General features: G+C 38.4%; 1 protein-coding gene across 19 annotated transcripts in view; it reads left to right on the forward strand.

The window, feature by feature from the left end:
• DNM3 (dynamin 3) overlaps positions 1–15,896 on the forward strand; it is a 576,969-nt gene that overhangs the window by 463,218 nt on the left and 97,855 nt on the right. For 16 of the 19 annotated variants that reach the window (NR_146559.2, XM_017000979.2, NM_001350206.2 and 13 more), the window contains one exon: positions 4,013–4,124. Coding sequence is in view for 17 of the 19 variants with exons in the window: in XM_017000979.2 (XP_016856468.1) it covers positions 4,013–4,124 (112 nt within the window). In the remaining 2 variants the exon portion in view is untranslated. Of the gene's footprint in view, positions 1–4,012; positions 4,125–15,896 lie in introns of those variants that run through there. The other 3 variants (XM_047417399.1, XM_047417417.1, XM_017000991.2) reach the window with 2 other exon arrangements.

Raw genomic sequence — 15,896 nt, forward strand, 5'->3', positions numbered from 1 at the left:
AGGATTAAGAAACTCACTCAAAACCGCTCAACTACATGAAACTGAACAACCTGCTCCTGAAGGACTAAGGGTTTAATAATGAAATGAAGGCAGAAATAAAGACGTTCTTTGAAACCAATGAGAACAAAGACACAACATACCAGAATCTCTGGGACGCATTTAAAGCAGTGTGTAGAGGGAAATTTATAGCACTAAATGCCCACAAGAGAAAGCAGGAAAGATCCAAAATTGACACCCTAACATCACAATTAAAAGAACTAGAGACGCAAAAGCAAACAAATTCAAAAGCTAGCAGAAGGCAAGAAATAACTAAGATCAGAGCAGAACTGAAGGCGATAGAGACACAAATACCCTTCAAAAAAATCAGTGAATCGAGGAGCTCATTTTTTGAAAAGATCAACAAAAGTGATAGACCACTAGCAAGACTAATAAAGAAGAAAAGAGAGAAGAATCAAATAGATGCAATAAAAAATGATAAAGGGGATATCATCACCGATCCCACAGAAATACAAACTACCACCAGAGAATACTACAAACACATCTACACAAATAAACTAGAAAATCTAGAAGAAATGGATAAATTCCTGGACACATACACCATCCTAAGACTAAACAAGGAAGAAGTTGAATCTCTGAATAGACCAATAACAGGCTCTGAAATTGAGGCAATAATCAATAGCCTACCAACCAAAAAAGTCCAAAACCAGACGGATTCACAGCCGAATTCTACCAGAGGTACAAGGAGGAACTGGTAGCATTCCTTCTGAAACTATTCCAATCAATAGAAAAAGAGGGAATCCTCCCTAACTCATTTCATGAGTCCAGCATCATCCTGATACCAAAGCCTGGCAGAGACACAACAAAAAAAAGAGAATTTTAGAACAATATCCGTGATGAACATCGATGCAAAAATCCTCAATAAAATACTGGCAAACCGAATCCAGCAGAACATCAAAAAGCTTATTCACCACGATCAAGTTGGCTTCACCATGGGATGCAAGGCTGGTTCAACATACACAAATCAATAAACATAATTCATCACATAAACAGAACCGAAGAGAAAAACCACATGATTATCTCAATAGATGCAGAAAAGGCCTTTGACTAAATTCAACAGCCTTCACACTAAAAACTCTCAATTAACTAGGTACTGATGGAATGTATCTCAAAATAATAAGAGCTATTTATGACAAGCCCACAGCCAGTATCATAGTGAATGGGCAAAAACTGGAAGCGTTCCCTTTGAAAACTGGCACAAGACAGGGATGCCCTCTCTCACCACTCGTATTCAACATAGTGTTGGAAGTTCTGGCCAGGGCAATCAGGCAAGAGAAAGAAATAAAGGGTATTCAGTTAGGAAAAGAGGAAGTCAAGTTGTCCCTGTTTGTAGATGACATGATTGTGTATTTAGAAAACCCCATCATCTCAGCCCAAAATCTCCTTAAGCTGATAAGCAACTTCAGCAAAGTCTCAGGATACAAAATCAATGTGCAAAAATCACAAGCATTCTTATACACCAGTAACAGAGAAACAGCCAAATCATGAGTGATCTCCCATTCAAAATTGCTGCAAAGAGAATAAAATACCTAGGAATCCAGCTTACAAGGCATGTGAAGCACCTCTTCAAGGAGAACTACAAACCACTGCTCAACGAAATAAAAGAGGACACAAACAAATGGAAGAACATTCCATGTTCATGGATAGGAAGAATCAATATTTTGAAAATGGCCATACTGCCCAAGGTAATTTATAGGTTCAATGCCATCCCCATCAAGCTAACAATGACTTTCTTCACAGAATTGGAAAAAAACCACTTTAAAGTTCATATGGAACCAAAAAAGAGCCCGCATTGCCAAGACAATCCTAAGCAAAAAGAACAAAGCTGGAGGCATCACACTACCTGACTTCAAACTATACTACAAGGCTACAGTAAGCAAAACAGCATGGTACTGGTACCAAAACAGAGATATAGACCAATGGGACAGAACAGAGGCCTCAGCAATAACACCACACATCTACAACCATCTCTTTGACAAACCTGACCAAAACAAGCAATGAGGAAAGGATTCCCTATTTAATAAATGGTGCTGGGAAAACTGGGTAGCCATATGTAGAAATCTGAAACTGGATCCCTTCCTTACACCTTATAGAAAAATTAATTCAAAATGGATTAAATACTTAAATGTTAGACCTAAAACCATAAAAACCCTAGAAGAAAACCTAGGCAATACCATTCAGGACATAGGCATGGGCAAGGACTTCATGTCTAAAACACCAAAAGCAACCACAACAAAAGCCAAAATTGACAAATGGGATCTAATTAAACTAAAGAGCTTCTGCACAGCAAAAGAAACTACCATCAGAGTGAACAGGCAACCTACAGAGTGGGAGAAAAATTTTGCATTCTACCCATATGACAAAGGGCTAATATCCAGAATCTACAAAGAACTTAAACAAATTTTACCAGAAAAAATAAACAAACAACCCCATCAAAAAGTGGGCAAAGCATATGAACAGATACTTCTCAAAAGAAAACATTTATGCAGACACATGAAAAAATGCTCATCATCACTGATCATCAGAGAAATGCAAATCAAAAACCACGATGAGATAACATCTTACACCAGTTAGAATGGCGATCAATAAAGTCAGGAAACAACAGATGCTGGAGAGGATGTGGAGAAATAGGAATGCTTTTACACGGTTGGTGGGAGTGTAAACTAGTTCAACCATTGTGGAAGACAGTGTGGTGATTCCTCAAGGATCTAGAACTAGAAATACCATTTGACCCAGTGATCCCATTACTGAGTATATACCCGAAGGATCATAAATCATGCTACTATAAAGACACACGCACACGTATGTTTATTGCAGCACTGTTCACAATAGCAAAGACTTGGAACTGACCCAAATGTCCATCAATGATAGACTGGATTAAGAAAATGTGGCACATGTACACCATGGAATACTATGCAGCCATAAAAAGGATGAGTTCATGTCTTTTGCAGGGACATGCATGAAGCTGGAAACCATCATTCTGAGCAAATTATCACAAGGACAGAAAACCAAACACCACGTGTTCTCACTCATAGGTGGGAACTGAACAATGGAATACTTGGACACAGGGTGGGGAACATTACACACCAGGGCCTGTCATAGGGTGGGGGCTGGGGGAGGGATAGCATGAGGAGAAATACCTAATGTAAATGATGAGTTAATGGGTGCAGCAAACCAACATGGCATGTGTATACCTATGTAACAAACCTGCACGCTGTGCACATGTACCCTAGAACTTAAAGTATAATAATAATAAAAATCTTAAATAAAAAAAAGAAAAGAAGGTTATCTCTAGGCTGTGGAAACTGGATGATTGTTACCACTTTAATTCTTTTCTCTACTTTCCAAATATTTAAAAATGGGCATGTATTGCATTTTATGTAATATCAGGAAAAGAAATATAAAAGGAAAATACTGTCCCCATCATAAATATGCACTTCATTGGCATCTCACCCTATTAAACACTGGTTATCAGTCTTTCCTTTTCACAATTTAATGAGCATTTCTGTTTTGCATCTGGCATTGTCTTTTAGGTTTGTAAGATTATTGCCGTGCATCTTAAAGTTTTATGAGCTATTTAGTCATTTAGACTCATAAAATATCTTCAGAGAATTGATCTAGCGGCTGAGCAATAGCAATTCCTTCCCCACAGCACAAGTTCCAATCAGTTCACACCCAGTGTATAATATTGAATACATTTGTATTTACTTTTTAATTTTGTAGCAGTACAGATAACTCTGAGCTTTGTAATGTGATTTTTTAAAAAATTATATTGTAAATACATGTAGAAATTCACTAATTATTTTAAAGTATGAGTTGTTTTTGTTTTCCTTCAGTGACTGTCAGAAACTGTCCATTTGGATTGTCACTTACATCATCATCGTCTACAGCAACATAAAATGACTTTGAATTTGGTTCAAACTAAAAGCATGATTTTTTTTTTTTTTAACTCCAGGAATGTATACAAAGACTATCGCTTCCTTGAGCTGGCATGTGATTCCCAGGAGGATGTCGACAGCTGGAAGGCATCTCTACTAAGAGCTGGGGTCTATCCTGACAAATCTGTAGTAAGTTGGATATATCTCTTATGTAAAAATTATTATTAGCTATGCTTAAGAAAATATTAATCCTACATACCATAAGCTGGAGAAACTAGTTTTCTTACTGACTTAATTAATTAGTTACACTTTTAGCTGATACTTCGCTTACTCTTTTTATATTTTTTAACAATGCTTTTTCTCTGTTAGATTTCTATTTGAAGAAGTTAAACAATATATTTGTTAAAGAAAATGTCCTACTCAGCCATAAAACACATATGCAATCTCAGCTCAAGACAAAGTTTGTTTTATTTCAAAATTTCATTTTTCTCTATATGCTTTTTCATACTTATCATGGTATTAATACAATCAGTATATCATCAATCATAACACCAGCATTTTGACTTGCTTAAAATATACTCATTTTAATAAAAATCTATCCCCTTTCATTATGTCTATATTCCCTGTATCCATAAGTATATCTGTGTGCAAACTCTGTTTAATATCCTCATGAGTGTGAAAGAACAAAAAGAAATATATTGCTATTTCCACTTGTCTTTATTAATATGCTTCACGTGTCTTTAAGACACTTCTCTCATTCAAGTTAATAAACAGACCTTTTCTTTGTGTTCTTTGGAAAATGTAATATTACACAGACTAGTCTAAATTTAAACAGAAGTCTCACCCAACATATGTGCACCCACCGTTAAACAGACTCTGCCACTGAGTGGACCTCTCCACTTGCTGCTTCCTCCTGTATATCTAGATTATCCAGGTTTCTCCCCAGAACTAAAGTACTGAGACTAAGCCTTGGGGATTTAGTTCAGCTTAACTCCTGAGGTGCCTACTTGGCTCTCGATCAGTTTATAGGAATGATCATGCATGAGTTGGGTCCTTTTTAGGTTCAAAATAGGGAGAGAGTCTTTTCAAGAGAAAGTCTGAGATATGGGTGAAACATAGGACAATTAAAGTATTTCTAGGGGGGTTTCAGGGCTGACCACATCTCTGGGGTTATACTAAAATGTAACAGAGTTTCAGGAATACAGGATTGAGGACTTGCACCAAAATGTCGTCCTCTCTGCTGTTATTTTAACTCACACATAGACCTCTTTATGCCATTGCATGCTATACTTGTCATCCTATACCTGTCTGACACCTAAAACAATGAACCTCCCACAATATGCTTTGTGCCCTCCAAATGGAAGTTAAACTAGATGCTTTCCTGTCAATAGCCAGGAGTACAGAAGCACGCATATATGATTTTCATAATTGTTGTCGAGTTGTTCTCCTGTTATATGCGTAGATATTTGCATAGATATATACCACTCTAAAGACTACATGTGAGAAGTCATTAAACATCAGAGTACCACTTTTACTTTTGTTTTTAACTCTATTACTTATTACTCTTCCCTATCCATTGATGGTAGTGTGTTTAATTTCACAAATGTTCTATATTAAAAATGCACACATACCTAATTTTTTATTAACTCATTCCACACAAACCTTTGGAGCATATGCTTTTTGCCAGCTGCCATTCTAGGCCCTGGTGATACAGAGGTGAACAATAGCAATAAAGTCCTGCCCCCACTGGAGCAGACATTAAACAAGGGAGTGAATAACGATAATTGTGCACCATTATTTAAGATAGTGATAAGTTCTATAAAATGTTAAGTAAGTTAAAGGGACAGACAGTGAGAGTAAGGGGCAGGCAAGCTTTATTTTTGTCAAGGTGATGAGGGAAGGCCTCTTTGAAGAGTTGACATTAGAGCAGGCTCTTCAAAGAAGGGAGGGAGTAAAGGATCTGGAAGTCTGAAGAAGAGTATTCTTGGCAGAAGATAGCAAGTGCAAAACCAAGCTCAGTGTCTTAGAGGAGCAGCAAGGCCAGTGTGTCTGGAACACTGTGAGGGAAGACAAAGGTGGTAGTTGGTTAACAAGGAAAGAGGTCAGGGACCAGGTGATGTAGGCCTTGAAGGATGGGGCGAGCCTTTTGAATTTTATTCTAAGTGAGATGGAAGCCACTACTAGGTTTCAAGTCACTTAGTGACGATTTATATATTTAAAAGCTCATTATGGTTGAGAATGATGAGAGGTAGTAAAGCATGTGAGTTCAAGCAGGGCTGTTGTGTCACACCACTTATATTTACATTCCAGGTGCTTACTTCCAAGCTGTGAGGTCTTGGGCAGGTTACCTAGCCTTTTCACATTTCAAGATTCTTATTTCTGAGATGAAGATAACAGTAGTCTTTTATAGGGCGGTTGATAGGATTGAATGAGATAATGCAGGGAAAGCATTGAACAGGGCAGGTACAAGTAAGCACTATATTTTCACTTATAATTATAATTATTATGATTCTTATTATGAACATTTTCATCAAAACTACTTTCTTTAACAGCTAGGGGAAGGTTGAAATACTGTGAATATTATCATACAGCCCAGTGAGATTATAAATACTTTGTTATTTTCTATCTTCCAAATATGCTTGTATGCTTGGTTATTTATCAATGTGTGTGTGTGTGTGTGTGTGTGTGTGTGTCTGCCTTAACATGCAACTATAATGTTTGTGAAAATGTTTTGTTAAGTCATGATTTTGTAAATTAAACCTATTTCAAATGCACTAGACAAGTTTGCCATTTAAACAAAAATAATGCTTAGCCAGGCACGGTGGCACACACCTGTGATCCCAGCTACAAGGGATGCCAGGAGGATTGCTTGAGCCTGGGAGGCCCAGGCTACAGTGTTCGTCCCACCGCACTCCAGCCTGTGTGAAAGAGTGATACCCTGTCTCAGAAACAAAAACAAAAACTTTCAATGAATCTCTTATGAGGGAAAAACTGTCCTAGAAAATCAAAGTTATCCATCTCCCAGTAAACTGGCTGGATTTTTATGTATCCATAGCTCTACATCAAAAAGACAAAGAAATATTTTCTATTTTTAATTAGAATACTCAATTTTAAGCAAATCTCACAACACAATCTGTTTTGATTCTTTTTATATCATTTTTATTTGTTTATCAATGCATATTTGGTACAATTGCTTAGAAGATCAAGACAAACGAATTTTTAGTACATACCGAAGGCAACACAGGAAATTAAATTTAGCAGTGTGCGATGATATTGCCTTTTTTCAGTTTTCATCATAAACAATATTTGCATTTCTTATGCACCATGTAGTCCTACAGGTCATATTACATAATTGCTTGACTTTCAGATATTTAAATGGCAGCTAACTGATGAAATTAACTAGAATGCTTATCTAAAGTTTCTATTTTGTGAACACTCACTTATATTTGGGGGAAGGAAATTATTTTTAGGTAGTTATTCCTAATTTAGAAAGACTTGATGAAGTCAGAATAACCTAATAACAGATGCCTCCGTCTGTGTAAATTTTTAGAATGTCTAAGTAGTGTGATTTTGCTTTCATGTCAATAAACCATTGAGTCTACAAATCAGTCAATTGCTACCCTAATAATGAAACATTTATGTGTCATGCATGGACATGAGTCTAAACTTACAAAGTTCTGCTTTCTGCACAAGATACCTCTATTTTGACTGGAAAGAAATCTCTATATAGATCATTTTTAAAAATTGTGTAAGTTTGACATCATTAGATAAACAGCCATAGCCCAAATTTGAATGAAATGCTGTGTTAGACAGATTTTATTTTCTAGTAAGGTTACATATGCTCACTTTTTAAAATACATTCTCACTATATATTTTTTTCCATCACGTCCAAGTGATGGAATGGTTTTATGTCACTCATATCAAAATCTTCTGCTCCCCTGTTTCTTTTGTCTCTTAAGTTATTTATCTTGGGGTTTTCTAAAATTTTATTTCTTTCCTTCCCTTCCATCCTCTTTCCTCCCTTCTTTCTTTCCCTTCATCCATCACTATTAAAGTGGACTCTAGAGATTCAAAGATTAAAAAGATGAAATTCCTACTTAATAGGAATGCTAAGCCTAGTGAAAGAGAAAGACACAAATAAATGCTCTACAATATGATAAGATCTACAGTGGATATCTGTATAAAATACAACAGCCCTACTATTTTTCCATATGGATTTTCTAATTACTTTTATTCTCTTTCACCTTTCTGGATCCAAAGCAAAATGTAGAATTTTTGTCTGAGCAGTGGCATCTATGGCTCTAAAATGGAAAGGAGGAGTCCTGGATTCAGGCTACTGACTTACTCTGTGAATTTACACATAACTTCCTTTGAGCCACAGATTTAGCATTCTACCAGTCACCTGATATTTCTGAGCAGCCACAATATTTTAAAACTATATTTAAATCTGAATTTGGATTTAGCAGAATTTTATTTTTTCCATTTCTATTTTCTATGGTCACTAAATTGAAATTACAACCATTGTAAAATTTGATATCATTAAATATGTAGGACTTTATCCAGTTTCAAAGTAAAGATGTCTCTAATGTAATTAATTGTTATTTTCACTGATGAGACTGAAATACAATCAGTCTGTATTGTGTGTGCGTATGTATCAGTGGTAAGAGGCTATGATTAGACAACTTTTAAAAGATTATTTTATTGACACGTACGTAAATTTTTCCTACATATGTGATTATAAATAAATGTGAATTTGATTTAATATCTAAAGAACATGATATAACAAACAACTGACTTTTCTGGCACAGTTTTGTTGGCTTACAATATTTAAATTACATAAAACATGAAAGAATTCTGAATTTAAATTCCTTGAAACATAATGTGTGCCATGGAATGAGGTAGACTTCAAGTCAAATCCACTCACAGTTGGATCCTGAGCCTGCCATTTACTAGCCATGTGGCTCAGGCAACTTACTTAACCTTCCAATTGTTGATTCTTCTCTAAACTCAGAATAATGCCTTCCTCAGAGTGACTTTATAAGATTAAATGAAGGTTCTTCTGCATCACAACTAGTTCAGTACCTTCAACTGGGTGAATGTGTTCAATGTCTCATAGCATTTATTTATTTATTTATTTATTTATTTACTTACTTATTTTTATTATACTTTAAGTTCTAGGATACATGTGCAGAATGTGCAGGTTTGTTACATAGGTATACGTGTGCCATGGTGGTTTGCTGCACCCATCAACCAGTCATCTACATTACATATTTCTCCTAATGCTATCCCTCCCCTAGCCCCCTACCCCCCGACAGGCCCCAGTGTGTGATGTTCCCCTCCCTGTTTACACTGTTGGTGGGAGTGTAAATTAGTTCAACCATTGTGGAATGTAGTGTGGCAACTCCTCAAGGATCTAGAACCAGAAATACTGTTTGACTCAGCAATCCCATTACTGGACATATACCCAAAGGATTATAAATAATTCTACAATAAAGACACATGCACACGTATGTTTATTGCAGCACTGTTCACAATAGCAAAGACTTAGGACCCAAATGCCCATCAACGATAGACTGGATAAAGAAAATGTGGCACAGGGGGAGGAGCCAAGATGGCCGAATAGGAACAGCTCCGGTCTACAGCTCCCAGCGTGAGCAACGCAGAAGACGGGTGATTTCTGCATTTCCATCTGAGGTAGCAGGTTCATCTCACTAGGGAGTGCCAGACAGTGGGTGCAGGTCAGTGGGTGCAGCACGCGGTGCACGAGCCGAAGCAGGGCGAGGCATTGCCTCACTCAGGAAGTGCAAGGGGTCAAGGAGTTCCCTTTCCTGGTCAAGGAAAGGGGTGACAGACGGCACCTGGAAAATCAGGTCACTCCCACCCGCATACTGTGCTTTTCTGACGGGCTTAGGAAACGGTGCACCAGGAGAATTATATCCCGCACCTGGCTCAGAGGGTCCTACGCCCACGGAGTCTCGCTGATTGCTAGCACAGCAGTCTGAGATCAAACTGCAAGGTGGCAGCGAGGCTGAGGGAGGGGCGCCCGCCATTGCCCAGGCTTGCTTAGGTAAACAAAGCAGCCGGGAAGCTCCAACTGGCTGGAGCCCACCACAGCTCAAGGAGGCCTGCCTGCCTCTGTAGGCTCCACCTCTGGGGGCAGGGCACAGACAAACAAAAAGACAGCAGTAACCTCTGCAGACTTAAATGTCCCTGTCTGACAGCTTTGAAGAGAGCAGTGGTTCTCCCAGCACGCAGCTGGAGATCTGAGAACAGGCAGACTGCCTCCTCAAGTGGGTCCCTGACCCCTGACTCCCGAGCAGCCTAACTGGGAGGCACCCCCCAGTAGGGGCAGACTGACACCTCACACGGCCGGGTACTCCTCTGAGACAAAACTTCCAGAGGAACAATCAGACAGCAGCATTCGCGGTTCATGAAAATCCACGGTTCTGCAGACACCGCTGCTGATACCCAGGCAAACAGGGTCTGGAGTGGACCTCTAGCAAAGTCCAACAGACCTGCAGCTGAGGGTCCTGTCTGTTAAAAGGAAAACTAACAAACAGAAAGGACATCCACACCAAAAACCCATCTGTACATCACCATCATCAAAGACCAAAAGTAGATAAAACCACAAAGATGGGGAAAAAACAGAGCAGAAAAACTGGAAACTCTAAAAAGCAGAGTGCCTCTCCTCCAAAGGAACGCAGTTCCTCACCAGCAACGGAACAAAGCTGGACATAGAATTACTTTGACGAGTTGAGAGAAGAAGGCTGCAGACGATCAAACTACTCCGAGCTACAGGAGGAAATTCAAACCAAAGGCAAAGAAGTTGAAAACTTTGAAAAAAATTTAGACAAATGTATAACTAGAATAACCAATACAGAGAAGTGCTTAAAGGAGCTGATGGAGCTGAAAGCCAACGCTCGAGAACTACGTGAAGAATGCAGAAGCCTCAAGAACCAATGCGATCAACTGGAAGAAAGGGTATCACTGATGGAAGATGAAATGAATGAAATGAAGTGAGAAGGGAAGTTTAGAGAAAAAAGAATAAAAAGAAACGAACAAAGCCTCCAAGAAATATGGGACTATGTGAAAAGACCAAATCTGCGTCTGATTGGTGTACCTGACAGTGACGGGGAGAATGGAACCAAGTTAGAAAACATTCTGCAGGATATTATCCAGGAGAACTTCCCCAATCTAGCAAGGCAGGCCAACGTTCAGATTCAGGAAATACAGAGAACGCCACAAAGATACTCCTCGAGAAGAGCAACTCCGAGACACATAATTGTCAGATTCACCAAAGTTGAAATGAAGGAAAAAGTGTTAAGGGCAGCCAGAGAGAAAGGTCGGGTTACCCACAAAGGGAAGCCCATCAGACTAACGGCGGATCTCTCGGCAGAAACTCTACAAGCCAGAAGAGAGTGGGAGCCAATATTCAACATTCTTAAAGAAAAGAATTTTCAACCCAGAATTTCATATCCAGCCAAACTAAGCTTCATAAGTGAAGGAGAAATAAAATACTTCACAGACAAGCAAATGCTGAGAGATTTTGTCACCACCAGGCCTGCCCTGAAAGAGCTCCTGAAGGAAGCACTAAACATGGAAAGGAAAAACCGGTACCAGCCACTGCAAAATCATGCCAAAATGTAAAGACCATCGAGACTAGGAAGGAACTGCATGAACTACTGAGCAAAATAACCAGCTAACATCATATTGACAGGATCAAATTCACACATAACAATATTAACTTTAAATGTAAAAGGACTAAATATCCCAATTAAAAGACACAGACTGGCAAATGGGATAAAGAATCAAGACCCATCAGTGTGCTGTATTCAGGAAACCCATCTCACGTGCAGAGACACACATAGGCTCAAAATAAAAGGATTGAGGAAGATCTACCAAGCAAATGGAAAACAAAAAAAGGCAGGGGTTGCAATCCTAGTCTCTGATAAAACAGACTTTAAACCAACAAAGATCAAAAGAGACAAAGAAGGCTATTACATAATGGTAAATGGATCAATTCAACAAGAAGAGCTAACTATCCTAAATATATATGCACCCAATACAGGAGCACCCAGATTCATAAAGCAAGTCCTGAGTGACCTACAAAGAGACTTAGACTCCCACACAATAATAATGGGAGACTTTAACACCCCACTGTTAACATTAGACAGATCAACGAGACAGAAAATTAACAAGGATACCCAGGAATTGAACTCAGCTCTGCACCAAGCGGACCTAATAGACATCTACAGAACTCTCCACCCCAAATCAATAGAATATACATTTTTTTCAGCACCGCACCACACCTATTCCAAAATTGACCACATACTGGGAAGTAAAGCTCTCCTCAGCAAATTAAAAGAACAGAAGTTATAACAAACTGTCTCTCAGACCACAGTGCAATCAAACTAGAACTCAGGATTAAGAAACTCACTCAAAACCGCTCAACTACATGGAAACTGAACAACCTGCTCCTGAATGACTACTGGGTACATAACGAAATGAAGGCAGAAATAAAGATGTTCTTTGAAACCAACGAGAACAAAGACACAACATACCAGAATCTCTGGGACACATTCAAAGCAGTGTGTAGAGGGAAATTTATAGCACTAAATGCCCATAAGAGAAAGCAGGAAAGATCCAAAATTGACACCCTAACATCACAATTAAAAGAACTAGAAAAGCAAGAGCAAACACATTCAAAAGCTAGCAGAAGGCAAGAAATAACTAAAATCAGAGCAGAACTGAAGGAAATAGAGACAAAAAAAATCCTTCAAAAAATTAATGAATCCAGAACCTGGTTTTTAGAAAGGATCAACAAAATTGATAGACCACTAGCAAGACTAATAAAGAAAAAAAGAGAGAAGAATCAAATAGACGCAATAAAAAATGATAAAGGGGATATCACCACTGATCCCACAGAAATACAAACTACCATCAGAGAATACTACCAACACCTCTATGCAAATAAACTAGAAAATCTAGAAGAAATGGATAAATTTCTCGACACATACACTCTCCCAAGACTAAACCAGGAAGAAGTTGAATCTCTGAATAGACCAGTAACAGGCTCTGAAATTGTGGCAATAATCAATAGCTTACCAACCAAAAAGAGTCCAGGACCAGATGGATTCACAGCCGAATTCTACCAGAGGTACAAGGAGGAACTGGTAGCATTCCTTCTGAAACTATTCCAATCAATAGAAAAAGAGGGAATCCTCCCTAACTCATTTTGAGGCCAGCATCATCCTGATATCAAAGCCTGGCAGAGACACAACCAAAAAAGAGAATTTTAGACCAATATCCTTGATGAACATTGATGCAAAAATCCTCAATAAAATACTGGCAAACTGAATCCAGCAGCACATCAAAAAGCTTATCCACCATGATCAAGTGGTCTTCATCCCTGGGATGCAAGGCTGGTTCAATATATGTAAATCAATAAATGTAATCCAGCATATAAACAGAACCAAAGACAAAAGCACATGATTATTTCAATAGATGCAGAAAAGGCCCTTGAAAAAATTCAACAGCCCTTCAGGCTATAAACTCTCAATAAATTAGGTATTGATGGGACGTATCTCAAAATAATAAGAGCTATCTATGACAAACCCACAGCCAATATCATACTGAATGGGCAAAAACTGGAAGCATTCCCTTTGAAAACTGGCACAAGACAGGGATGCCCTCTCTCACCACTCCTATTCAACATAGTGTTGGAAGTTCTGGCCAGGGCAATCAGGCAGGAGAAGGAAATAAAGGGTATTCAATTAGGAAAAGAGGAAGCCAAATTGTCCCTGTTTGCAGACGACGTGATTGTATATCTAGAAAACCCCATTGTCTCAGCCCAAAATCTCCTTAAGCTGATAAGCAACTTCAGCAAAGTCTCAGGATATACAATCAATGTACAAAAATCACAAGCATTCTTATACACCAATAACAGACAAACAGAGAGCCAAATCATGAGTGAACTACCATTCACAATTGCTTCAAAGAGAATAAAATACCTAGGAATCCAGCTTACAAGGGACGTGAAGGACCTCTTCAAGGAGAACTACAAACCACTGCTCAATGAAATAAAAGAGGACACAAACAAATGGAAGAACATTCCATGCTCATGGGTGGGAAGAATCAATATCATGAAAATGGCCATACTGCCCAAGGTAATTTATAGATTCAGTGCCATCCCCATCAAGCTACCAATGACTTTCTTCACAGACTTGGAAAAAACTACTTTAAAGTTCATGTGGAACCAAAAAAGAGCCTGCATCGCCAAGTCAATCCTAAGCCAAAAGAACAAAGCTGGAGGCATCACGCTACCTGACTTCAAACTATACTACAAGGCTACAGTAACCAAAACAGCATGGTACTGGTACCAAAACAGAGATATAGACCAATGGAACAGAACAGAGCCCTCAGAAATAACGCCGCATATCTACAACTATCTGATCTTTGACAAACCTGAGAAAAACAAGCAATGAGGAAAGGTTTCCCTATTTAATAAATGGTGCTGGGAAAACTGGCTAGCCATATGTAGAAAGCTGAAACTGGATCCCTTCCTTACACCTTATACAAAAATTAATTCAAGATGGATTAAAGACTTAAATGTTAGACCTAAAACCATAAAAACCCTAGAAGAAAACCTAGGCATTACCATTCAGGACATAGGCATGGGCAAGGACTTCATGTCTAAAACACCAAAAGCAATGGCAACAAAAGCCAAAATTGACAAATGAGATCTAATTAAACTAAAGAGTTTCTGCACAGCAAAAGAAACTACCATCAGAGTGAACAGGCAAAATGGGAGAAAATTTTTGCAACCTTCTCATCTGACAAAGGGCTAATATCCAGAATCTACAATGAACTCAAACAAATTTACAAGAAAAAAACAAACAACCTCATCAAAAAGTGGGCAAAGGATATGAACAGACACTTCTGAAAAGAAGACATTTATGCAGCCAAAAGACACATGAAAAAATGCTCATCATCACTGGCCATCAGAGAAATGCAAATCAAAACCACAATGAGATACCATCTCACACCAGTTAGAATGGCAATCATTAAAAAGTCAGGAAACAACAGATGCTGGAGAGCATGTGGAGAAATAGGAACACTTTTACACTGTTGGTGGGACTGTAAACTAGTTCAACCATTGTGGAAGTCAGTGTGGTGATTCCTCAGGGATCTAGAACTAGAAATACCATTTGACCCAGCCATCCCATTACTGGGTATATACCCAAAGGAGTATAAATCATGCTGCTATAAAGACACATGCACACATATGTTTATTGCAGCACTACTCACAATAGCAAAGACTTGGAACCAAGCCAAATGTCCAACAATGATAGACTGGATTAAGAAAATGTGGCACATATACACCATGGAATACTACGCAGCCATAAAAAATGATGAGTTCATGTCCTTTGTAGGGACATGGATGAAATTGGAAATCACCATTCTCAGTAAACTATCGCAAGGACAAAAACCGAAACACCACATGTTCTCACTCATAGATGGGAATTGAACAATGAGAACACATGGACACAGGAAGGGGAACATCACACTCTGGGGACTGTTGTGGGGTGGGGGGATGGGGGAGGGATAGCATTAGGAGATATAGCTAATGCTAAATGACGAGTTAATGGGTGCAGCACACCAGCATGGCACATGTATACATATGTAACTAACCTGAACATTGTGCACAGGTACCCTAAATCTTAAAGTATAATAATAATAAAAAAAAGAAAAAAAAAAAAGAAAATGTGGCACATATACACCATGGAATACTTTGCAGCCATAAAAAAGGATGAGTTCATGTCGTTTGCAGGGACATGGATGAAGCTGGAAACCTTCATTCTCAGCAAACTAACACAACAACAGAAAACCAAACACTGTATGTTCTTACTCATAAGAGGGAGTTGAACAATAATATTTTTATTATTTAAAATCATTGTGTCC

This window comes from Homo sapiens, chromosome 1 (genome assembly GCF_000001405.40).
Source record: "Homo sapiens chromosome 1, GRCh38.p14 Primary Assembly".
Taxonomy (NCBI): domain Eukaryota; kingdom Metazoa; phylum Chordata; class Mammalia; order Primates; family Hominidae; genus Homo; species Homo sapiens.